The sequence below is a fragment of the Homo sapiens genome, chromosome 2 (genome assembly GCF_000001405.40).
Source record: "Homo sapiens chromosome 2, GRCh38.p14 Primary Assembly".
In the NCBI taxonomy this organism is placed as follows: domain Eukaryota; kingdom Metazoa; phylum Chordata; class Mammalia; order Primates; family Hominidae; genus Homo; species Homo sapiens.
The window spans coordinates 6,615,855-6,643,317 of NC_000002.12; the positions used below are offsets into that span (position 1 = coordinate 6,615,855).

The 27,463-nt window shown below is 37.3% G+C and overlaps 1 long non-coding RNA gene across 2 annotated transcripts, besides 1 other annotated feature; it reads right to left on the minus strand.

Annotated features, from left to right (window-relative positions):
* Positions 1-10,254: 10,254 nt before the first annotated feature.
* Positions 10,255-18,852, minus strand: LINC01246 (long intergenic non-protein coding RNA 1246). 2 transcript variants are annotated; one of them, NR_110498.1, is made up of 3 exons: positions 18,741-18,852; positions 17,815-18,115; positions 10,255-10,384 (listed from the first exon to the last, which is right to left on the minus strand). It is a non-coding gene; the product is annotated as a long intergenic non-protein coding RNA 1246 (long non-coding RNA). The 2 variants fall into 2 exon arrangements; NR_110500.1 differs by lacking the exon at positions 18,741-18,852 and adding an exon at positions 16,844-16,888 and having other exon boundaries at positions 17,815-17,933.
* Positions 23,919-24,522: an enhancer, noted in NCBI's record as "OCT4-NANOG-H3K27ac hESC enhancer chr2:6779905-6780508 (GRCh37/hg19 assembly coordinates)". NCBI's record gives its function as "activates a minimal SCP1, AML or CMV promoter by ChIP-STARR-seq in naive and primed H9 embryonic stem cells {active_cell/tissue: H9 hESC(naive and primed)}" and the evidence as "EXISTENCE:reporter gene assay evidence [ECO:0000049][PMID:30033119]".

A 27,463-nucleotide genomic window follows, 5' to 3' on the forward strand; every position in this document is an offset into this window, starting at 1 on the left:
GATATTCTCCCCATCTTCATATTCCTTGCCTCCTTTCATCATAAGTTCCTGGTATCATGCCTAAAAGGTTTGAAATTTTTTAAGATTTTAAATAAACTAGTAAGCACTTAATTGAAAAGTCATTTACCCCAAAATATTATTACATTTATATTTATTAAAAACAAAATATTGTGCTTTATTGTCACTTAAAATTCCAACATAGACCATAGAATTACAAAATTATTATATTACATATCTTTGTAAGTTGTTTAGCATAAATTCTAGTGTTTTTGTGCTCTAAACAAGGAGACTGAGGTCTACGTAGATCAAATAGTTTCTCTAAAGTTCTAATTGCTGTGACTCTCCTGCGGTTAGGGAGAGTTTTCTACTTTGGCTGTATCTAGCAATACTCTCAGTGATGTAACTTAGTGTAATATTTTTTAAGAATAAACTTCAATAATACAACTTCTTTGATATGAGAAACATTTAAATGCTTCTTATCAATCCATGAATCAAAGCTCTTATGACATTTTGAGGTTATCTCTGTTAACATGTACCCAGTACTCCTGGAATATTATAGATGCTTAGTAAATTTTTTTTTTTGCAAAAAAAAGCATCAATTCTTCCATGCTCAGATATAATTATGTTATAAATATTAGATATAGAAAAGATTTCATTCATATTTATACAATTAGAGAATGCATGCTTGTTTGTTTCTAAATGACTTTATATGTCAAAAAAAAAAAAAACCCTGTGATGAAACAAGGAGGTAGAGGTGACAAAAATGGGTTTCTCTTCTGTAATTATTTTGAGTTTTATTCAGCTAATTCAAAGGCTAGTTCATTCTAGAAAAATAAAATTGATACAAACTCATCAGAGTCTACTTGTGCCAATTTTTTTTTAACTACCACGTAGGCTTGTTGGTAAAAAGTAGAATTGACTAAACTTGAAAAGCCATTGATGAAAACAGGCACTTAAATTCCCCGTGATGACATGTTTTTTTTTCTCTTTAAAAAACTTGGTTTTCACTACATAAAATAAATGGTCATACCACAAAGCAAACGCAGCTATCACAAACCTACGTCAATGACATTGACTCTATTTCCTTGCACATTTTTCCCATTTTCACAGCTGTGAAATCCGGAGGCCCCTTATAGTGCATGCCAATTTACAATTATGTTCCACAGTCATTGATTTGGCCTTACTAATTTATAAAACTGTAGCATTTCTAAAGAAATACTACAATGGCATGTTGTAGTATGGCTAATTTTTTATACCCAGTGCCTAGTATAGTGTGTGGCAGATTGTAGTGGGTCGGTGAATGTGAAAGAGAGTTTCAATATTGTTAAGTGCATATTCACTGCTAAATTTTGGTGTCTTATAAGTTTTAATTGCTCAAAGAAACTATGGTCCATGGGAAAGGGAAGGAGTGGAGCTGAGTTAATGAATGATTCAAACTAGTTTTCCAAGGGGCCCTGCAAGGGAAAGAAAGTTGACTAACATATGTGCTGGGTAGCCATGCCCAGAGAGAGCAAACCCTTTCATGGGTGAAACACTCTTCAGGTTTCAGGTCATTTTAGGGACTTGCTGGTGAATGGCTAGCCACAAAGGTAACATTTATCAAGTTACTCAGGTTAAGTTCATCATTAAATTTCCTATTTTCTTTCTCCTGGAATCTCGTGGGTTTTGTTTAATGTTGGAGACAGATGGTGCTGAGGCATTTCAGGTGTTAGTTGATGACATTTTGGTTTTCCTAGGTTTTTTCCAAGTAGATTAAATCCAACAGTACATCACTTGTGTTTCCCAGCATCATAGTCTTGCTGGCTCCCTGATGCCTGAACCAAATATTTGATCCTTCAACCATACTCACGCTTCCTGCTCTGCCCACAAGTTCTCCCTTCGAACACCAGGCACCATCTGTTAAATTGATGTGAGGAGGAAATGAGAAACAGTTATATGAATGCTGCCACTGATCAGTTATCAAGTGATATCTAATTAGCTCATCTCTGATTATCATATAATTAAAGATATCTATCATATCCCTAGCTCAACCCCAGCACCGAATAGTTCTCTTTGTCACAAGTCAGGAAGGACAATACATCATCCCAGCGCTGCCTGAGAAGCAAGTCAGCCTCACAGCTCAGCAGGTTTTGCTTCAGTTCTTCCTCACTGATGACCGATTGTCTGAGGCATCCCCTCTCTAAAGCATTGCATGAAATCTTTTCTCACATTTGCTCTGAAGTGGGAAGGGAAATGAGTAAGGACCGTGTCTTCTTTGTTGCTTTTCTATCATCCTGGCTTCAGCTTTTTGTATCTTGTTGAATAGAAAGATGATGTGAAGCCAGCTGTTCCCCTCTCCTTGGCTCCTGGGAGAGGGTCTCAAACTCTTTCTCTGTGAAAGCAGGGTGTCAAGAGGACAATGGAGGGTAACGATGGGAAAGAGAGGCTCACTCTTCCTTTCTTCTTCGCATTCTTCTCAAAACTAAGAGAGATGTTGGGGAGAGAGAGACCTGCAAGTAAGCTCACAAGAAATGACTGCAGTGATGATAGGAATAGCTAACTGCTGTTGAGCAACACTTTTGGCAAGCAGTGGCTATTTTAAACATAATACACAACACTGTATGATATTATACATAACGTGCATCTTTTATATGGTAATATGACAATTATTTTAAAAATGAAGAAACTGAGGCTGGGAGAAGTCACATGCCTTGACCAATCTGTAACTAATATGCAGGGAAGCAACTCGCGGACCCTGGTCTCCGCCTCCAGAAGCTCAACTGTGCCCCTAACAATCTGTAATAGTAGTTTGCCAACGAATATATTACATATCTTTCTGAACCTCAGTGTTCCCATCTGCAAAACAAGGATGGAAATCCTTACTTCAAAGGGTTTTTGTGAGAATTATATAAGTAAATGTATCTAAAAATCCTGATTTTAATACATGACCCATGGATGTTCAGTTCCTTTTTTAATTTAACCTGAATTTCTGTAGCTATCATAGTCTGATTTATGTAGCATATCTTTAAATGCCAACAACATGTCAGACACCAAGACTGCCATGATAAATAAGATATCCAGGAGTCTTTCCTCAATAGCCCCTGGTCCAATGACGGAGTCAAATATATATATAAAATGAACATGGTACAGAAAGATAGATATTATCAAGTACCTCTGAAATGTCTGGGAAACCTTAGAAAATCATGTAACAATTGAGATTGGTTTTGAAGGGTGAATAAGAGTTAATGAGGGAAACACAGGTGAGTAGAAGGACATTTCTATGTAAAATGTGTCAAAGCATGAAGATATGAAACTACATATTTAATTTTTACCGATTTTTAATAATTTAATGGGTTTCTGCAGCCATCGCCACTGGGCATTTTTAGAACATTTCCAATATTCTCCAAAATTGCCTCGTACTGTCAGCTCCCACCTACATTACCAAATCACTGATCTGCTTTCTGTTTTTAGAGTTGCTTTTTTAGAAATTTCATATAATGAAATCACATATTATGTAGTCTTTTAAATCTGACTTCATTCACTTAGTATAATATTTTGAGGTCAATTTATGTTGCAGTACGCATGAGTAGTTCATTTATTTTTATTCCTGGACAGTATTCTGTATTTCATGTACACACAGGTCACATGTGTTCATCCATTCATCAGTTGATGGACAATTGCGTTATTTCTAGTTTGGAGTTAGGAAGAATAATGCTGCTATGTCATTCTGTGCACCTGTATTTATTTCTCTTAGGCAGATACTTCGGACTGTAATTACTGAGTCATATATTATGTGTTTAACTTTTTAAGAAATATTAATATATAAATAATTTATCAAAGTTGCTGGACTCTTTTACCTTCTGTCTAGCATTTTTTAGTATTCTACTGTTCTATACTCACTTCAACTCTTAGTATCCACAGTTTTTTAGTACAGCATTCTAGTAGGTCTCTCATGAAGACCATTGTGATTTTCATTAGCACTCCTTTAATGACAGTGCAGTTAAATGCATTTTCATGTGCTTATTAATCATGGGTATATATTTATATATACATGTTTATATACATAAGTATATATTAAATATGTATAAGTATGTATATAGAGGGGATATGAAATATGTATTAAAATCTTTCCCATTTTTTACTTCCGTTGCTTGACTTCTTACTGTTGAGTTGCATTCTGAATATAAGTCCTTTATCAGATATTTGATTTGCAAATATTTTCTCCTTGTCTGTGCCATGAATTTTTATTTTAAGGTCATGTTAGTTGCAGAACCTTTATTAAGTTCATTTACCAAGTTTTTGTTTGACGAATGCTGTTTTTAATATCATATCTAAAACATTTTTGTTTTATCCAAAATCGCAAAGATTTCATTCTATATTTTCTTCTAGACACTTTATATTTTTCATTTTAACAGTTAGATCTATGACACATTTTGAGATAATATTTGTATATGGTGTGAGTTAAGGATCTAAGATTATATTTCTTATGAAGACATCTCATTGTCCAGCATCATATATCGAAAACATGATTCTTTTCAAATTAGATTTCCTTGATACCTTAATTCCAGCCTCCCTATTGTATTCCTTGGATATATAGGTCTATCCTTAAACCAGTACCACAGTGTTTCTTGATGCTGTAGCTTGATATTAAATTTAAAAATTTGGGAGTACAAGTTCCCTAATTTTTTTTCATTTTTTTATTCATAGTAATTTGCATTTTTCCATAAATTATAACATTACTCTGTCAGTTTTTCCATAAAAATTCTGCTAGGCCAGATATACCTGTAGTCTCAGCTACTGGGAAAGTTGAAGCAGGAGGATCAGTTGAGCACAGAATTTCAAGGCTGTGGTGCACTATGATTGCACCTGTGAATAAACACTGCACTTTAGTGTGGGTGACATAAAAAGCCTGCTAGGATTGTGCTGGGGATTGCCTTGAATCTATAGATCAATTAAAGGAAATTTTCTATCCTAAAATTATTGAGTCCTTATTTACATCTTCTCGATTTTTCTTAGCAATATTTTGTAGTTTTCAATGCAAAAGTATTTATTTTGTTAAATTAATTCTTAGTATTTTATTATTTGTGTTATTAGCTTAAGTAGAATTGATTTCTTTCTTTTTGTTAGTATGTAGAAATAAATTTTTTTTATGTTGATTTTGCATCCTGTGAAATTTCTGAACTCATCTATTTGTTCTAGTAGGGTTTTTAAGATATTCTTTAGAATTTTCTACAAACATTATCAAGTCATCCACAAAAAAATACAGTATATTGATTTTGTATTATATGAAATTAGTAAGTGATTTATTCTAGTAGCTTTTTAAAATACATATTCTTTAAGATTTTCTGCATGTATTATCATGTCTGTAAACCAATACAATTTTCTTCCTTTCCAGTTTGGATTCCTTTAATTTGAAACTTAGTAAAAACTTGAATAGGAGTAGTGAGAAAAGAAATATTCACTGCATTCCTTATATTGTGGGGAAAGCACTCAATCTTTCACTGTAAAGAATGATATTAGCTACAGGTTTTTCCCATATCCCTGTACCACTTAGAGAACATTAGCTTCTATTCCACATTTAAAAAAAAAAATTTATCATGAATAGGTGCTACCTTTTGTCAAATGTTTTCTGAATCTATTGAGATAATCATGTATTGTGCTCCTCCTTTATTCTATCAATACTTGTATTACATTGATTAGCTTTTACATGTTAAACTAACTTTGTATTCCTGAGATAAATCTCACTTGGTCTTCAAATATAATCATTTTTACATATTGCTGAAATTACATTGCTAAATTTTTTGAGGATTTTTACATTTATGTTCAAGAGGGTTACCGATATATATTATTTCTTATTATTTTTAGTGTCTTTTTGGGGGTTTTGTATCAGAGTTATACTGATCTTATGAAGTGAGTTGGAAGTGTTTTCTCCTTCTCTGTTTTCTGGAATAGTTTGAGTACAATTAGTATTTATATTTACTCTTTAAATATTTGGTAGAATTCACCAGTAAAGCCATTTACACCTGGGCTTTCCTTTCCAAAGAGATTTTTACATTACAGAGTCAATGTCTTTATTTCCAATAGGTCTATTCATCTTTTCTATAAATCAGTTCTTGAGTCAGTTTCAGTAATTATATTTTTCTAGGAATTTTTTTCCATTTAATATATGTTGTCATATTTTTGTCAAAAAGGTGTCTCAATATGTTTTAAATGTATATATAATGATGACCCCTCTTTCATCCCTGATAGTGGTAAGGTGATATCCTCTCTGTTATCGACTGAATGTTGGTGTTCCCCCAAAATTCCCTTGTTGAAATTTCATCCTCAGCATGATAGTATTTAGAATTGGGATCTTTGAAAGATAATTAGGCCACGAGGGTAGAGCCCTCATAAATGGAATAAGTGCCCTTATAAGAAAAGGGCAGAGAACTGTGTAGCTCTTATTTCACCAGCGAATATAGGGAGAAGTTGACCGTCTTCAACCCAGAAGAGAGTTCTCACAGCACCTGCTGGGACTCTAATCACAGCATCAGCTGGGACTCTGATAGTGGACTCTCAGCCTCCACAACTATGAGAAATATGCTCCTGTTTCAAAGCCAACCAGTCTATGGTACCATGTTGTAGGGCTCTACCCTCGTGGCCTAATTATCTTTCAAAGATCCCACTTCTAAATACTATCGCGCTGAGGATGAGATTTCAACAAGGGAATTTTGGGGGAACACCGACATTCAGTCGATAACAGAAAGGATATCAACTTACCACTATCAGGGATGAAAGAGGGGTCATCATTTAAACTGATTAAAATATTCCTTTTTTTCTTAGTCAGTCTAGCTAAAGTTTTATCATTTAAAAAATATTTTTAAAAGTCAATGCTTGGTTTTATTAATTTTCTCTGTTTTGTGTTCTATTTTAGTTTCACTCTGTTCCTCTATTAAATATTCTTGATACTCTGTTTGGATATAATTTGTTCTTCCATTTCTAGTTTCTTAATGTAGAGCTTAGATTCTTTATTTGAGATCTTTCTTTGTGTGTGTGTATATGTGTGTGTGTGTGTGTGTGTAAAGCTATAAATATCCTTCTGAACATTGCTTCAGCTACAAACCATAATTTTATGTTTTTTATTTTCATTCAATTAAAATTCCTTTCTAATTTTCTCTTCGATATCTTCATTTATCTTTTTCTTACTTAGAAGTGAGTTGTGTTATTTCCAAAAATTTGGAAATTCCCAAATTTCTTTCTCTTGTTGATTTCAAATGTATTCCATTTTGTTTAGAGAACATACCTTGCATGACTCCAATTCCTTCAAATTTATTTATAATTTTTTGTGGAACATCATATGGTTTATTTTACCCAAAGTTATAGGAGTTTTTCATAAATAAACATTTCTGAATGTGTTGCTTTGATTTAGAAAATTTCCAGAGCTCTGAAATGATTGTTTTTGACAATTTGTTTAGTTTCAACTTGCTTTTGGGGGAGAGGGTTTGCCTATCTTATTACTCTGCAATAGCCAGAAGTCCAACCTCAATTAAATTATGCAATTTAAAATTTTATAGGGCCTTGATGTTTGACTGGCATTTGTTTGATTTTCCCGGTAGGGGGTAAGCTCTTTAGATTCATATTCATCTTTGTGTCTTACATGGCACCTATCACAGTGCTCCCAAATTCCTTAACTTCAGTGATTGGCTTTCAAATGCACTTTTCCATTAGAAAACTCACTGAATGACTGAACAGACTCATACAAAATGGCAATTTTAAAAAGATCTCATATTGTCATTCTTTCTTTCATTGATCAAAAAAGGAATCTCCACCATTTTAACATGCATTGATTAGAAAGTAATAATTTAAGAGGTTTATCAAAACACTTGCTTTAATGCTAGAAAACTGTTGAGTGAAGATCAGCATAGCAATCTCAGTATGCACTATATCAAGTTTAAAGGGATATTACCAATTTCTGCTGGGAGCATTTTAACAACAGGCAACAGCTTTAATAGTAGCGAATTTAAGTCTGATACTACTTTTTACAGTATATCTTTTAGGATAATGGTTCATAAAATACAGAGCCTAGAGGACCAATTTCCAAGCCAAAGTGGGAGGTGGGGCTCACTAGGGATGTATTATTGTTTACTTTTATATTTGAGTCTGGGTTATTACTTTCAGATGTTTGTAAGATCCACCTTGGCTTCTCTCATGCAGGCTATTTATAAAAGTTTCCCTGTACAGTTTTATCTCATCTCCAGTAACATATATGCTGAATTATTTAATTTTTTTGACTTTTTCATGATAAAAAGTCACACACTTTAATTCCATTTTCGGCAAAGAAATAATTCAATTAAAGTTGTGTACAAAAATTATTCAGAGAAAACTATTCAGAGAAAAATTGCCTTTAATCTCAACCTCATTTTCCCTAATGACATTGGTTAAAATAAAATAGAAGAAAATAAAATAGGGTGAAATCAAGCTAATTAAGTACATACATAAATAAAATCATGACTGTTCTTGAGACTGTTGGTCAGATAGCAGATTTATTGGTCTCACAGTTAGTAACCATCCTCCTTAGGGTGACAGAATGGAAACAGTCCCTCATTTAGTCTAGCCAAAATTTCTGTAGTAAATTAATTTGCAGACTGTATTTGTAAAATAGTGTTGGAGAATGTATGAGTAACCTTATATAAGTCCGTTATGTTTTATTATGTTTACAGAAACAATAAAGATGTAATACTAAACAAAGATAAAAGCAGAGGAGTTGTATTTCGTTTAAAATAATATTGGCTGGGTGTGGTAGCTCGCACACCTGTTAGCTCAACACTTTGGGAGGCCAGGAGTTTGACATTAGCCTGATCAACATAGCAAGATCCTGTATCTATTGAAAAAAAAAAAAGCTTTGCCTAGTAGTGCATGCCTGTTGTCCTAACTGCTGGAAAGGCTGAGGCAGATGGGATTGCTTGAGCCCAGAAGTTGGAGACTGGAGAGAACTATGATTGCACCACTGCACTGCAGCCTGGATGATGGGGCAAGACCCTAAATATCCTAAATAAATAGGCCTGGCACTGTGGCTCACATCTGTAATCCCAGCACTTCGGGAGGCCAAGGCAGGTGAATTAACTGAGGTCAGGAGTTCTAGAGCAGTCTGGCCAAAATGGTTAGACCCCGTCCCTACCAAAAATACAAAGATTAGCCAGGTGTGGCAACACGCACCTGTAATCCCAGCTACTCGAGAATCTGAAGCAGGAGAATCACTTGAATCCGGGAGGCGGAGGCTGCAGTGAGCTGAGATTGCTCCACTGCACTCCAGGCCTGGGTGACAGAGCAAGACTGTCTCAAAAAAAAAATATATATATATATATATTTAATTACCTAATTAATTAAATAAAATATTATTGATGAGCATTATGCTATTAATTTCCATTTATAGTCTTTTGCTTAATAAAATTATTTAGAATTGTTTTCTTCACCATTCCCATTTCGCCCTTTGTTCTGAGGTGATGTAAACAATATCCCTACTTAGATAGTTTTTAAGTCATATGTTGTTATCTGACTGGTTCTCCAGCTAATACCAATAGTTTTAAAACTATTTCTCTAATTTATTCATCACACATGCCAGTTATTACCATAATCCAGAGACTCAGTACATCAGCTGTATATTGTAAGAATGGTCTTACAAAGTGACGATTTAAAGTTTTCATAGCTTGAGGGGTTATTTCTCAAACCTCCACCCTATTCCTGGGATACGGCCTTCTTCTGCCTGTGATATCTTTGTGCCAAATCACATTACTTCCATGGGCACATTTTTCAAAAACCAGAGAGAAGTTCGCAGATTCCGGTCTTCTTTTTCACCTTATTTCTTCCAAAACTATTGGTTCAAAATCTCTTCTCTGATTGTAGTTCTCAGGAGAAAATTTTCATCTTCCTTTACTAAATTCAACCCTTAGTTTTTTTGTTTTGTTTTGTTTTTCCTTTTCAAAATAATGAAAACATCTACAAACATTTTCAAGTCACCATTTGTACCATTTGTGCATATGATAAAAATCCCCAGGTTTTTTAAAAGTTATATAAAAATAAACTCAAGTACACTAAAATTTGGTAATTTGGGGTTTTATTATTGGATTGGATAGGGATTATTTTAGACACGGATGATGAATACAAGCACACCAAAATTCCAAGGACTGCTATTAGTAATATAGTTCATATTTTTGAAAAAGCTGAATTTTCTATACATTTAAATGCTTTCTTTCTCTTCATGTATTCCCTCCATGACACTAATAAATAAAGCATTAAAATGAAAAATGTCTTTTATTTAGATTACCATTCAAATTTATATCTAGTTCTGTCTTCCGTTCACATTTTTCTGTAAAACTTCTCATGAAACTTTCTTAGCCAGAATCTCACAGCAGTTTTAGCAACTTTTCTAAAAAAACAAAACAAATAAATAGACAATAAAACTTCACAAATTTTAATGGGGCCATACAAACTCTAAAAGTTGAAAAGACATTTACACTATCTAGTCTATTATCTAGTTTTTAAAATCCGCCAGAGGTTATGTGATTTGCTCTAAGTCACACTGCTGGCTAAATTAGAAACCCAGCTAGAATTCTGGCGTTCTGACCATGAATGCAGGGCTGCTTCTGACTGAATTTGCAGTTCTGGCTTTGAGTCCAAAAATACTAAGTGATATCCTGGAAATATACCAGATCTGCAGAAATGTGCGTGACTTCAATGAAAATATTTGTTCAGGCTGTGTAGGGTGGCTCACGACTGTAATCCCAGCACTTAAGGAGGCAGACGCGGGAGGATAGCTTGAGCCCAGGAGTTAGCGACTAGCCTGGGCAACATAGCAAGAACCCAGTCTCCACACAAAGGAAAGCAAAAACAAAACAATAAAATATTTGTTCAGAGGTCAAGGAGCAAAAGATATTGGTGAACTCCTTTCCTTTGGAAATAACATATTAAGTATCTTGTATATTTTCACCCAGCATTGGTATGTCATGATTCATCTACTGCTAAACAAGTTAGGTTTGTGCTAAGATACACATAGTGAAGCTTAAAGAAAAAATGAAAAGGACATCAGGTCTTTCCAGGCAAGGAAGGTCCATTTCGTCCATGAATGGCGCTTTGAGCCTCTAGATACATTCATCTCTCTCATTACTTTAGCTACAGAAGATCTGTTATTGGAGGATTGTCCCAACAAGTGTAAGGCACTGTTTAATGAAGGAGAACAGGGACAACTTGATCACATTTCTCTGTCACTAACACTTTGCTCTGGTTATTTCTCTGTGAAATTTTTTCCCAAGAAATCCTTTGGCTGAATGTGGAGGAAAAGAGCGGAAGGACTTGGGGCTGTTGCAGCAAAGGAGCCCCACCTCTGCAGGTTTTGCCCACACTATGAAGATGCTGTGCAGCCCGGGGTGAGGGTGTCCTGGCTTCCATGCCGACTACCATATTCCCCTGTCCCTTGCAACCCAGTCTTCCTGCTGTGGCTACTAAAGTCTTTGCCTCCCTGCTCATCACCGCTCCTCACACACTTGAGGTTTTGGAAGTTGTCATGCTGGATCTGGATATTGTTAAGTTGTTGATCCTTCCAAGACCAGCTGCTGCTCTACCATTTATAAAAGGCCAAGAAGCCTCCATCTCCCTTTGTCCAGCACATTCTGATTGTGGTCAATCTCAACAGAAACACATGTAGTGAAATGAAGGCCGGGTATGTGGGTCTTTTCCTACGCTGCAAAATGGATTCATTGTTCTGCGGAATTTGAGCCTGACCAGAACAGCAGGACTTATAAGCCCCAGGACTGAAAATAAACTCCACAGTCTTTCAGATTCACAGGGGTCAGGAAAGGAGGAGACCTAGAAGAATCTCATGTTCCAAAGACAAACTCTCCTGCTACCAAATACCCACATTCTCGGAAGCCGAGAATATTTGGACATCTCCCAGTGCCAGACTTGCTTGCATTTCACATCTGGGCATGGTGTTGCCCTAGAGCCAAGATAAACTCATGGTGGGGAAGTCCAGGGACACCGAAGTGTTCAAGAAATGGCTTTTCTCATTCAGGAATCCTTCCCCTGTCAAATCCCAGGAATTATCTTGGGGGTCAGACAGAAATTTAAGTTCCATCATCACAACTGCCTTCACAACCACCACTGCCATAACCGGTCATCAGAATGACTTGCCCAGGGCCACACAGGTGAGACATTCGGGCCAGGACAACCATGCAGGCCCCTGACTCTGGGACCCGTGCTTCCTCTTCTTCACATCATAAATTAAAGGGACATTCATTATTTTTAGATGATCCAAGGGCGGATCTATAGGAAGAGAGTTGAGAAAATATGCATTCGGCCAAATTTTATAAGTATAAATTGATTAAATAATGTAATAAAAATTTAAGTATATATTCAGAGATAAACATGAGAAAGAGAAACAGAGATGATAGAAATGATGAAGACAGAGACAAGGTAGTGTGACTCCAGGAGACCAGGGAAGGTCACAGATCTCAAAACATGACCTCTCAAAATGCTGACTACAGGCTGTAATTCAACTATTCATTCAGCAAGAATTTATTTATCAAGTCCTTAAGATTAAATTGATAAACATGATTCAGTTCCAGCCCTGGAGAAGTTCAGCATTTGGAAGGAGCAGAGGCTAATATTAAGTATCGTGGATGCCTAGAGGAGAAAGAGATGTCTTCTATTTCGGGCATAGACATTGGTGAAAATCCAAACTTTGTCAGTAAAATGTAGCATTTTTAAATGTTGTCAATCATTCATATCTACATATAGCAATGAAGAACAAAGACTCTGGATGAAGTGCAGTGGGAAAAACTATTGTAATAGAGCCTTCAAGGAGGAATAAAGCTTGGGATATGGGAAAAGTTAACCTGAGCATAGGAGAGAAAGTACTGGTTCTCAAAGCAAATTTTATTCATTTGTATGAAGGTCTGACAGGGACTATGAAGATAAGTCATAAAGACAAGGGCGATTCACCAGGTTTTCAAAGACAAGTTTGAAACACATCTCAAGTTTTATAGAAAAATGATACTCTAGTGCAATAATGGAGTCAATAGGTCCCTGGTTCGGCACGGCAGGTCTAAGAGCATACTTAATGTATTCATTAGGTAAACATTTATTGAATAGATCTGATATATCAAGAACATGGCCAGCATAAATGTAAAGGGATGAACAAGACATAATAACTGTACTTATGAAAACCAATGTGTGGTGGCCAAGCCAATAGTCTAGGGGCTAAAACTAACCTTTGTTCAATCTAGGACTCCAGGACCAGATGCCCATCATGGAAAGCAGTTGTGTTTGCCTTCCCACAGTGAAATGTGGTCATACCTACAGGACATGGTTCATGCCCCCTGAAGTGGTGATAGATGAAGACTAAGGTTTCTCTGTCTCCATGTTAATGCATCTTCCTGTTAGGCATCTATCATTGTCAGCATCAATTGAATTTTTTCTGAACTTGTCATGTATCCATCAATACTTCTGAGCATTGCCTACCACTGTCTACTCTTCTTTCACTATTATGTTTCATTATTATGCCCCACATCCTACTACCTAAAATCCCCTGAGACCTGCTTTCTCTATTTACTGCAACAATGTCACTGCCACTGCCCAAGTCCAGGCCCTAGTCATATGGCTCACACATTATCAGCAATGGCCTTCTGCCTTGCCCCCTCCCTCTGAGTCCCATATCGCCAAAAACATCCGAGAAACTGTTGCATAAATGATCTTTCTAAGCAACATACCTAATCATATTTCAGCCCTGATGTAAATTCACCAGAGGCCTCCTCTTCTCCTGTCTCGTCTCATACACCCTAGCTTGAGTGTCCCGTGCATACTCTCCATCCTAGCGCATGGCTTTGTGGACAGACTCTATTCTGGTCTCATCACCTCCATGCACCATTCTCTCCAGCTTTGCTTCAATATTTGCTGTTTCTTACTCATTGGCCTTTATACAAGCTATTTACACAACTAGCATGCCCTTTCTTCTCCTTCATCCAGCAGCTGACACCTACTCCGACATCAAATCTAAGAACAGCTCACCTCTTTCATAAGTTTTTCTCCCACTGGCTAATTTAAATGATTACAGGCTTACATGATATCCAAGTGGATAAGCTTATTATAAGTTTTCCTCACTGCTTTGTATTTACTACTTTATTTCTCTGGCTTACAACTAAATAGTCAAAAAGTAGTTGGTAGAGGGAATAAAGGGTAAACAAATGAATGAGAATCTTGTCATCTCTCCTCCCTTGTTTTGCTTTAATTTATTTTCAAATTGGAGAAAGGAAAAAAATGATTCCTTAAAAACAAACCAAAAAATGCCCTTAAAAAAGAGCAGAGAAATTCTACCCCTCGAATCCCACCCTACTCTAGAAAGCTGAGAAAATGTAAGTGTTCATTGTTTGGAGGAATACGCTCTTCCTTTTCCTGTCTCCAGTGGCTCCTTTTCCTGAAGAAGGTCAATGGACCACATGGGGCCATTCAAAGCCAGCCAAGGTCACATGGACGGGGTTTGTTGGCTTCATCTCAGAGGATCTCTGGTTGAGTTGAATAAAGTTGCAACTTTATACATTTGGCTCATGCAAAGCCTTTTTAAAATAAGACTCTTCCATCTGAATTTCAAAACTTGTGCATATAGGACTTCCCCATTCCCTAAAGGCTCTTATTTCTAGTGGAGCTACGACATCACTTGTGCTCACAGGATGCATAAAACAAATTATCTTTCTGGTCCACACCCTGAATTTCACAGAATTAGACATTTTTCCTGTCTCCTAGGAAGATGCAAAATGTGTTACATCCAGCTCTCAGAAATACATCCAGTTAAGCAAGTCATTTTCTACTTTGTATCATTCTAATCCCTACTGGTACTTCTTGAAGCTTCCAATGAGGCAGATTTTCATAATAACTTTAATAAAATCTTACTACCCCTTATTTTGCTCATGTTACTGAGCCATGATAAACTGCAATGTAACTGAGTGAAATGGAGAGTCAGTTGAGTTGGGCATGGTAGGGAGGCATTGATGTGCTTTCTGCACTCTCTTGTTCAGTTATCCTGCAAGGGAATTCTCCAATCACAGCATATTCAGCTTAAATAACAGAAAAATGGAAAACTTTACCTAGAAAGGGTGAATGAATCATCTTATACAATAATTTTGCTTTATAAATGAAAAAAACAAAACGGAGAAAGTCATTTGTCTGTGACTGCAGTTGCTGGCAGAGTTAGATGCAGGATCTTGACTATGAGTATTAGTATCACTAATTTGAGAGGTCCAGGAAGATCCTAACATCCTGAAAAAAATGTTCTAGGAGATATGTATTCATAGTAAGGATTTTGGCTTCATCAATTTCAAAAAGCTCATGACAGTGAAAAATATTGAGAGTTATATTCAAAGATCCTTTAAGCTCAAGGAGTCTCTTATTCTACAAAACATTCTTTGGACCTGTGTTGTCTCTAGCGTAAGTTCAGAAGAAGCAGAAAAATAAAACTTTCCTTTTTTCCCCCAAATGGAAGTCTTATTTAAATTGAATTTCTTTCTTCCTTAGAACTTATAGATAAGCTTTTGCACAACAAAATAGTTCAAGGAACTTTAATAAGTTTTCAATAGATTCACAAGTAGGTTTTTATTTCTACCTTCCTTTAAGAAAATACATAGCAGTACTCAAATCTTTATGACCATCAAATTTTACCATATTAGGAAACTTTTGTCTAATAGTAACTCTATTAAGTGCATTGCTCAGAAGGCCACAAAATTCCTAATATGCCAGTCCAGATAGACTCATAGCATAGATAAAGCTGAGAGGACCTCAATCCCCATCTGGTGAAAGTCTCCGTCTACTGTTAGAAATAACAAGGACTTCCAAAGGGGAGTGACTTGGAGAAGGGTATATTGCAGCTAGTGGCCAAGGAGCCCAGGACTAAAAAAAAAAAAAAAAAAAAAAAAAAAAGGCAGGGGGGTTATATGAGTTTTGGGACTCATGATGTTCATGCTTCTTGGTACTCCTTCAACACTGGTAAAACATAGTAGGCATTAGGTGAGGTTCAGGCATGGAGCATAATATCATGGATGGAGAGATGAACAAAGAACTTTTCCTCTCCTTGGACTCATAAATGAATAAGAGAAAATAGACAGGCTTCTTCTAGAACATCTGTTGACATATAAAGTGTTTCAATTTTCAATATGTGTCTCTACAATGACCCAGATGTTCAGAATAACTTTTATTAAACCCTGCTAACTCAGATTCAGTTTGCCCCAGGAGACCATGATAAAGATGAAGACGATGGTTGAGTATATATTATTGGTAACAAGAAACAGTATTTTTATGCACTGAAGTCACCTAACATCTCACTTTTTTATTTTTATAGGTCAAAAGTGCTTTCATCCAGTGGAAATAATGACTTCATATTGCAGAAAAAAGGAAAGATGACATTTGGTTTGCTTTATTAAAGACTTTGTCTATTAATTATAAATGAACCTTTGTACATGGTCACCGAGAGGGAAAGTGTAGTGTGACTTTTATATCCAAGAAAGCATGAAAACATCAACATGACTGTTGGCCCTCTGAGATAGAGGTCTCAAATCTGTAGTCTGGTTAACCCTCTTCCTTCAATGTTGCTTTAATGTTTTCTCTTTATTTAACTATTACTTACAAAGCCTCTGGTACACCAGGTAGTCTGCCAGAGGCTAGAAAATCAGAGATGAATAAAACCTGATGCATATCTTAAAAGTGCCAGAGAAGGCTGGAACCAGTGGTGAATCTTTGCACAATGAAGAGGGAAGTGGTCCTACCTGGGAGTGTGCTGGGGAAGTTCTGTGCATGAATGTGTGAGGGATTCTGTAAGAATCACCACCTGCTCACCAAATCTTACCACATCCTGTAGCTCAGGTGAATTCTCCAAATGTGTCTAGGATACCTGGATGATATTGAGGAAAGTTATAAAATAATGATGGAAAACAATTATATATGCAATTTTGTGCTACTCAGATACCTTTTTACATTAGACTCTGGACTAAATTAACCAGGGGCATTTTGCAGAACCCCTGATTTGACATAAAATGTTGTATCCACTAGCACTGCCCCTCATGCCCCAATTGTGAAAAGTTATCTCATGTTGCAGAAGATGGGAGAGCAGTGTCTGATGGCAGCATGCTATGGGAAGTCATGCAGGCTGGTATGGTTATAACCAGAAGCCAGGTCACATGTAGCCAGGTGGTGAATACTCATCAAAACAGGGACAACCATGGCTTGACACTAATGAGCCTCTGAGTGGAAGAAGAGTAATCATTGCAATCTTACAAAGTTCAGAGGTCAGCATACTGTGATCTTGATTCCAGCTGGAGCTATACATCATTCAACCAGCCACTGGTCATGCCACATTTTATCAATGCTAAGAGCAAAGAAATCCTGCCCATCATAAAAGACAAGGCCCTATCTCAAGATTTTAAAATCTAGTTTGGATACCAGTCTAGGGGAAAACTAGTATCTCCCAAACATCCTTACCCCTTCCTTGAAATCTCTCTTGCTCCTATTCTGATTCTTGTTTCTTTCTTCCTTTCTATTCTAATGATTTTCCCTAATTTTACACCCAGGAATAATTATTATATTAATAGTTTCTATTATAATAAAAGCTTACATTTTTCTAAGTGCTTACTTTGCGCCAGACTCTGTCTGAAAAGCTTCGAGTATATTGGTCCATTTAATCCCCATAATAAATTTAGAAACTATTTTAACCAATCATATATTTTACTTCCAATATGAATCATTCAGAAGTAAAATGACTTGCCTAAAGTCATACAGTGAGCAAGCAGGGGAGCTGGCCTTCAGATCCTGCAACCTCACCTTAGAGCTTGATCTCATAAGGACTGCTGTCCTCTCTGCTCACTGCCTTGTCCTCACAGGCCAATTTCGTCACACGTGTGTTACAGGTGACTCCAATAGGAAATCCAGCTTCTCTTTGGCCCATACGACGTTTAAAACACCTCTTAAAAGTTTTGCCTTTTTGTGTGACCTCTGCCATTTTTGATGGTCCCAGGAATGGCATGTATGACTCTCCAATCTGCTTGGCTCAAGGTTGACTTTTTGTGGCTCAAGGTTGACTTTTCATGACTCAAGATTGAATCACCAATAACGTCTTTGTGAACTGTCCATAATAAAAATTAGGAGGGTCTTTAGGAAGATGTAGCTTTTATTAGGTTTAAGAATGACAAAATATTAAAATCAGACCTAAATTACTGTTCATGTTATAATTTAAATTTTGGGAGATGTGGTAGGGGCTCCACCATCTAATCTAAACTATTTCTCTCCAATGGAAAGAGGAAAGTTTTTGCAATCCCAAATGGCTAACTTCGTGATACTACAGAGAGTCTTATGCCTTCTTTTTATGGATAGACATACAGTAGTGACAATGATGCTGAAAGACTTAGGTCCATCTGAGTTTCAAACACATGGCCAACTAAAATGGGAGAAAACATTTTCTGGGTCCACCTACCCCAGGAAGGGGGCTCATGAATGTGAGGAATATTTCAGAGGAAATTTGCTAATCAACAAAGCAACTAAATAGCAGGTAGCCAGGCTCTCTGGCAACAAACCAAATCCCTAGAAAGAATCATTCACCCTTAATGCTGGAGAGGTCATCAAGTCCAACCTTCCAAAATTGCACCCTCTTACTCAGTATGATAATTTCCTCCTACATCTTAGGAATCTTCTTCTCTAGCTTCACCTTGAAAAACAATAGCAGTGAGATGTTTACTAACTCCTATGCCCACCTGCTCTCTTTCTGCCTTTAGTTGTTGAAGTATTTATCCATCAATAACTACATATAATAGGTGATATGTAGATGAGATCCGACTCTATAGGGATTCCATCTGCTTGTGATAATGGGTACATCACACCTCCCTGTATATTCTGAAAGACAGGCATTCACTTTGTCAAACAGTCCTTCCTACCATGTTATGTCTAAAAGGATCTCACCAGTGCTGCTATGCTGTCATCTTTAACTTCATAAGCTCTTCTGTTATGCATCTTCTACCAGTTTGTAAGGCCTCTGGAGACAAATAGCAGACCCTCAGTTTCTTTCTGTTGCCTACAGTGCCCAGCAAAAAGTTTGCCTCAACAGATTTGTCTTAAAACCAACGCAGTAGAGTAAGAAGTTACCTGTCTCAAGATCTAGATGCGAATTCTAACTCTAGCTCTGGACACATAGCTATGAGTAAGTCTCTTGTATTTCTTGTCTTTGTATAATATTTCTAAGACTAGAAAAGCAATGAAGACTGGAAAAGCAAGAGACTTACCCATAATTTTTAATGTAGAGAAGGAGATGATGAAGACAGTTATGTTAAATGCTCTCTGTGAACAAATTTCAGGGTCACTGAAGTCGGTAGATGTGAAGTCTGGTTTTGAATCTTACATCTGCAATTTACTGACTGCAAATAAAATGACAATCTCCCTGAATCTCATTTTCATCAGTTTTAAAATCAAAGTATTTGTAGCATTTATGACACAAGATTGTTTTGAAGATTAATTATATGAGATCACATATATAATGGGCTTAGCCCATAATACCTGGCATATAGTAAAATGTTCAATAAATGTTAGCTATTTTAAGACCTTTAAGATGTGAGAGCCAAGAAGCATTCTCTTGAGCGGTTCTTGCCAGATGGTTTCCTTACTCTGGGTTTGGCTGTTTCTTGGGAATGTGTTCAGTGAAAAAAAATTCAACAAATCAATTAACAAACATCCACCAATACCTTCTACATGCAACAGAATGCTTCAGGCACTGTGCATGATCCAATAAGAGTAAGATGTCTTCTCCCTAGAAGAGATAATTTAATTAAGAAGATAAAGCAACACATGAAAACAAAACTAAAAATTCAAAGTAATAATGGATTCTCAATGGGTAATACATGCTTTGTTTCCTAAAGGAACACACTCTTTCCAGCCCAGATTGTTAGGGAGAGCTCCCTAGGGGAGGGAAGGTTTAAGTTGGCATTATTTCCACCTCCTCCACAGTAATAATACATTGTATTCTCAATTCCACCAAAACAAAATCAAAATAAAGACAATGCAAGCTCCTTCTTCTGGATGTCTTCTCTTAGTAAATAGCATCATCACTTACCTAGAATTCCAAGGAGAAGGGCTCCCTAAAACCCTCTTTCCCTCAACTACCATGTCTATTTGGTCATGAACATCTTCAGCACCTAGAGCTGAAAATACTCAAATCTGGGTCCTTCTTCCCAAATCCTCTGTGCCAATTGAGGTTTCATTGCTACTGGGTCTCTGATACTGTCTTCTTCAGCGTTCCCTTTCTTTCACTTCCACATCTCCCCACTCCATTTGTTCAGGTGATGACCATTGTGGTGTTTTCCCCAAGGAATGAAGGCCACAGGACAGTGACTGTTGTGCCTGCCTCCTGGCATCTGGAGGATGGATGGTTTTATTCCAGTCATACCACAGCTGTGAATTGTCCTCTGATTATCATGCTTTTTCTAATCTCCATTGTTTCTCACACCAGGAAAACCCTTTTCTCCTACTTCTCCATTAAGAACACCCACCATCCTGTATCTTAAAGAACATGTAGAAGGTATCACATCCTTTAGAATTCCATTCAGTGTCTCCACTTCCAGGAAGCCTGTGCCAATACCTTCCTAGTGTGAATCAGGTACTCCTCTGAGCTAGTCTAGCTCCCTGGGCTGAGCTCAGTGATTCCTCCTAATTATGCTGAAATCATCTGTGTCTATCTGACTTGTTCACAGATACAGAGCTTCTTCTTCTTTTTTTTTTTTAAATAAAAAGAAGACAAATCATGGGTCATCTATTTCTGTGTCTTGTCTCCTGTGCACAGCGTAACACAGTCTTAAGAAATATTGGTTGAAAGTGAGTGAATGTACCTATGTGACCTCTGAAAGATAAATAAAATTTGATTAAATTTGCCAAATACAGGAAGTCTCTACAAGGAAAAGGCGTAGTAAAGAAAACATACTGCGAAGATGGCTAGATGTCTCTGGTGATATTAAGCAGTATCTGCCCCAAAATAGAGAACCTCATCAGCCAAGTGATTTACCTTCAAAACTGTAAATATCAAGAAACACTGAACCTAGATCTCCCTACTTTGCTGAACTGAGAGGAAAGTTGCTTAATTTTTTTATTATTAATCCATGTTGAATGTTCTCCTCTTCCACCTCAGCCCTTCACAGGTCCTCTAAAAGCCTAGATCTTGGTGTGTAATCCCAGAAATATACAGTGGCCCCTTGTACTGTTGATGTTTTAACGGAGTTGTCAGGGAGTGGGAGGGTGCGCAACAGAACGCAGCAATGGTTTGAACATCCCTTTATCCTTTTCCATCCCATAAAGAACATTTTTCTGTATATAAATATGATAATGCTATCTACTGAGCAAAGCAGAAGCATTTTCAATGCTGCACAAATTAAGAAAGAGAATCCTTTGAAAGAAGTCTGTTTTTCAGGGTAAAAGTAAGACCACCAGCTACTGCCCAGGAAAAAAAAATATATCTGTAGTAGTTTTTAATATTAGTTTGATGAGATCTAGGTTATAAACAGGTCTGGTGCCATGTAATTTGCAACATAATTTCACTGTCTGTTTATCTATCCATCCGTCCACCCATTCATATGTATATAACATAGGCAGGAAATCTGGTGTCTGTTGCTAGTTCATAAATCAGTGTCTGCTCTCAACAACATCTGAATACAAATGTGATTAAATTTGATACCATGCCCATTTTTCATTTATCAGATTTTAGAATGTGATGCCGTGGCAGCTGTCCTATGGTAATGTGTTTTGCAGTTAACCCCCTGAGTCCCAACTTCCTTCAACATATGAAGCCCTTGCAGAGACATTAGAAATTCACAGAACAAGACACCTACTCTGCTTATCACAGAGAAAGTTTTCCTCAGCATATCAAGGAAAGAAGAGAGGGGAAAGAGCTGGAAATAACATTAGAAAATTGAAGAAAACCTCAGAATTGCTGCGTTTCTGATCTGCAGAAGACTTTAGAGACTGTCTAGCCCTGTGCTTCACAAAGTTTTCTGTCCCACACATCACATGGGGCTCTTGTTAAAGAGCAGATGCTGGTTCAGTAGGTCTGGGCTGGGGCCTGGGATTCTGCATTTTAATCCAGTTAATCCAGTTGATCTACTATTTCCTAAATTTAATAATCATCTGATTGACTGATGTACTTAAGTGTCCTCCCCAGCACCATGACTCAGATTTTCCTGGAAAATGGACCTTGAGAACAAGGAAGGTTACCTGGAACTTTTATCAGCCAGCTCACACAACGGACCAAGTTTGGGAAACGTTGAAAACGGAGGCCTAAAGGAAAAGTGAGTTGCTAAAGTTGAAACTTGAACACAGAATCTCAAGCAAGTGCTTTTGCTAGTCTCAATGGAAATGAGATAACTAGAATAGAGGTTGGAGAACAATTCACAATACTCACAACAGGTTCCAGAAAGTGGACTCTAGCAGAAGGGATTATTTAGAGTTAGTGCTGGAGAACAGTCCTGGATTAGCAAAACAGGTCCTAGAAAACAACATACCCCGATGTTTTGTGAGGCAAACAAACCAGGTCAGACCAAATCACTGGCCATAAGGTATCTTTTCTGACAACCTAGCTGCTACTGAGGAAGCCCGTTTTCCTTGCCTCTCCCTTCATTTGCCTTCTGAGACCCTATTTACAAAAAAATCAACTCCTTCTTCTGGAAGCTGTATTCTACAGAAAGGAGCCCCTTCATGGCTTCCCAAGATCCACTACGGCTTCCCAAAAGCTTCCTGACGTATTTTCACTCCACCCGTGATTTCCAGATCACTCCAGACCTGCAGAATCATCGTGTTCCTGTGTGGATTGTTCAACAAGGAAGATAATTTTGGAAATGTACCTGTTATTGCTCTTTTCTTGGTGAGTGATGGTCATCCAGGGGAGCTTGGATCGCTGAGGTTTGCGGGTGAACTGCAAACTCCTAAGCATTGGTACATACATTTAGGATGATACTGAGTAGACCAAATAAGCATTCTGTATACTTCAATTTCCTTTTGGGGAAATAGCAAACACATTTACTGCTCACCTTAAAGGACATTTAAAAAAAAATTACAATACTTAAAAAATGTGAAATTAAAGAAACAACATACCCAACTTGCAGAACACTTGCTAGGAAATAATAACCAGTTAGACATCAATTTCTTTTTTCAGATTGGCTAATGGTGTTTGTGTACCTTTAGTGGGCTGCAGAAGGCAAAATGCATGCCACGCAATAGGCTTGGACATGTAGCTATCACCTTAGCAAAAGGCTTCTGTTCAAGGGTGGTGAGAGAGCCTGGGTCTTCCTTTCACACAATGATGCCTGCAGAGGTAAGCTGCTGTGTCTTTCTCCATAACTACTTGGCATATGCATCAAGAGCCTCAGAAATGCTCAATGACTGGGGAACTTCTGGAAACCTGGCTTAAAGGAATAATTAGCAATGTGCAAAAGAGATCCAAAATGCCATCTCATTTACAAAAGAAAACTTTTGCATTACATAAACATCTAAACACATAGAAATGGCTACATATATCATGAGCTTCATCTCAGGTAGGGTGTCATTTAGATTTAAATGACCATATAACATGTCGGGTTATGCAGTCATTTAAAAATGTGGTGTGAGAAAATATGGAGCTTCTCACTTTGTTAAGTGGGATAAAAATAAGATCACATAAGCATAACCTAAGTACTTAAGTAGTCACAAAAAAGGGAAATTAGAATTACATATAAAAAATATTTTTTCATCAGTCAAATGGAGAAAAGAATGCCTATATTCTAGGGCAGTTTTAGGAAGTATAGGCTAACTATGTAAAGCACCTAGCACAGTGTTCACTATGTTATATTATCAAAAATAATCCATGATAATTACATTAACAACCGTAATTAACACTTGCCATTGATACTGGAATTGTTTTTCTTTTCTGTTATATAATTTGTCTCTGTTTTCTCCTCTGAGTTTTATACAGTCATAAAATATTGCCTTTAGAAACAGAAATGCCACTATTTATACTTTTAAAAATTACTATGGACAGAACATGTGGGTTCTCTTCACAGCTCTCTCTCTACTTCAGCTCTGTCCTAAAGAAAGAATCCCTGTCTTGAGCTTAACCCTCAGTTGTCTGGCATTCACAGGGTTAACAGCCAGTCTCCAGCAACCCCTCCCTACCCCAAGACAAGCTGTGATCTTCTCACTGCAAGTCTATCCCCAACCAATCCCCAAACACAAAAGCCCAGAATGAAAGGAGTGGGGGTGGGGCGCTCGCTGTGTGGCTTTTCTCTGTTTTTCAACATAAAAAAAAATGAGAAGAGAAAGCAAAATCTCCTTTTGAAAAAATAAATGCTAAATGCTAGGCTTTTTCTCCTCTCCCCAAGTAGCTGGCCTTATTAAATAGGGATTCATCAATGTTTTTTGTTGTCTCAAGTAAGATACTATTTATTGGGTGCACAAAAGCAGATAAAGCCACAAATGAGTTGCCTGGTCACTCTTGCCAACAGGAAGATGCACATAACATGCAAGAGGCATCCTCCTCTCCTGTTCACTGAATGCATTTCAAAGGGCCTTAAATCTTTGTGTCACAGGGATCAGCTTATGGTTAAGCAGAGCACAGTATGCAAGGTGCTGGGAGAAGGTTGGCTGGCAGATGGTGGCTGGTTTCTCTCTCTTTTCTCTTCCTCCCTTCTCACTTTCTCCCTTCCCTTCTCCCACTTTCTTTCACACAAGTCCCTGTATCAGTGGCCCGTGGCCCTCTCTGTGACACAACAGACTCTGGCGTGCACAGATGAATCTCCCTGAGTTCATCTATATTTTCAGCCTTGTGAAAAAAAGAATCTGTGAGAGCTACCTCACCTTCAAGCTTCTATAGAAAGGAGGATTTAAATTTCTATTCAAAACAGAGCTTGTTATAATTGAGAACAAGATTCTCCTCCCTGAGGCACTTTGAGTCAATTAATTGGCTTTTTTGAAGTGTTAATAGGGAAAAAAAATTTTGACCTTTTCCAGGGCTTTTTCATGGAGCTATTGAAGAAAATTGCTGGGCTATTAACCAAACCAATTCTGGGGCCACAGAGCCCCCAAGAGCTGAGTACTCTTGGGGATGATTGAAATACAAAACATGGTTAATTCATTCATCATATCAGAAAAAGCACCCATTTGATTAAGAGACTATTTTTACACTACCCCGTGGGTGTGTGTGTGTGTGTGTGTGTTTGTGTGTGTGTGTGTGTGTGTGTGTGTGTGTGAGAGAGAGAGAGAAAGAAAGCAACCAAGGCAACATGTTGCAAACTTTAATGCAGCAAGAAGATATCCTTAGAAATAGACTCTCTCCATATTATAAATTAAAACAAAAAGAAGGCAGGGTGTGGTGGCTCACACCTGTAATTCCATTTGTTTAGGAGGCTGAGGCAGGTGAATCATCTGAGGTCAGGAGTTCAAGACCAGCCTGGCCAATATGGTGAAACCCAGTGTCTACCAAAAATACAGAAAAAACTAGCCGGATGTGGTGGTGCTCGCCTGTAGTCCCAGCTACTCTGGAGACTGAGGTAGGAGAATTGCTTAAACCCAGGAGGCGGAGATTGCAGTGAGCCGAGGTTGTGCCACTTGCCCTCCAGCCTGAGTGACAGAGCAAGACTCTGCCCACCCCCACAAAAAATAAATAAATAAATAAAACAAAAAGGAAAAGAAAACTATTGAGAAACTAAACTCAAGAGAAGAGTGCTCAAGAAATGGGATCCAGTAGATACAACTCTGGTTTAAGGTTTTTCCAGACACCCAAGAGTTCCCAACATCTCTAAAGTCAAGGTGGGTATAGTTGGTCAATTTATGTCAGTAGATACAATCTGTGTAATTTTAGCCTCATCTGTGAGAAAGCTGAAAAAATTATTTTGAACTTTTTTATAATTTCTATTCTGTAGGTACCCATGCAAATCCTGAGAATAATTTTTATTTTCTGTGATTAACACACACAAAAACCAAAGAGAACAGAAGGGTTTTACCACTTATTTTTTCCTCCCATAGGCTTCTGCTCATGGTACTTTGAAAAAAACAAGCAGCAACACCAAAGTTGTACAGGCTTCACAGGGCACTCTATTACAGGAACAGATGGTCATATAAATGAGAACTTGATTTCACTGCAAGAAAACCTTCCATTCATCTCCCATAGTTTGGGAATGGGGTGATTGGATTAATTAAATATTCTGGTAAGCAGTGAGGATCCATTTATCCACAATGGATTACCATTTTTAAAAAATGTACATCACCAGTAAGTACACTGTGCATGGGCTCAATGGAACACAGTCTCATCCTTCACAATGTGGCTCAGAACAGAACTCAGACTCATCAATTCAGTGACAGCAGGGCCAGCAAGGCTTGAGTGCTAAATAGCTCCATTTGGTGAACACTGAAGCTTCATTGTACTAATGACATAGGGAAAACCTAGGAGCGAGCCCAAGCTGATGAAATGCTAGAGGAAGGACTAGGATAGCAGGAAAACTTAGATACATTTCTAAAAAGGAACAAGATTGATAAGAGGGAGCTAGCATGGAAGAGGTGAAAACTGAATTCTAACATCTACAAAAAAAACCTACAACAAACATCATACTTAATGGTGAAAAACAAGAAGCTTCTCCACTAAAATCAGGAACAAGGCAAGGATATTTCTTCTCAACTGCTTTCCAACACTGTATTGAAAGTCCTAACTAATTCAATAAGGTAAGAAAAGAAAAGAAAATGATATACGTATTTGGAAGGAAGAAATGAAATGGTCTTTGTTTGCAGATTACCTGATTGTCTATGTAGAAAATCTGAAAGATTAAACAAAGCAATTCCTGGAACTAATAAGCAATTATAGCAAGGTTGCAGGATGCAAGGTTAATATACGAAAGTCAATAACTCTCCTATGCACCAATGATGAATAAGTGAAACCTAAAATGCTTAGGTATAAACCTAACAAATTATGTACAATATCTATATCTTAGGCAGTTTAGGCTGCTATAATGGGACACCATAAAATAGGTGGCTTATAAACAACAACAAATTCTTTCTCATAATTTTGGAGGCTGTAAAGTCCAAGATCAAAATGCTGGCAGATTTGCCATCTCATGAGTGCCTGCTTCTTTCTGTATTCTCACCTGATGGAAGGGGGAAGAGAGCTCTTAAGAGTTTCTTTTATGAAGGCCTTAGTCCTATCTTTGAGGGCTTTGCCCTCATCACCTAATCACCTGCTGAAGGATTCACCCCCCAATACCATCATTGTGGGGGTCTTTCAACATATAAATTTTGAGGGGAGGAGTAGCACAAACATTCAGTCTATAACAATTTATATGAAAAAAACTAAAACTCAAACCAAATAAAGAACTAAATTAACAAAGAGATATTCCAAGTTCAGGAATAGAAAGATGCGATATTTTCAAGCTTTAATTTCTTTCCAACTTGATCTATAGATTCAATGAAATCCCAGTCAAAT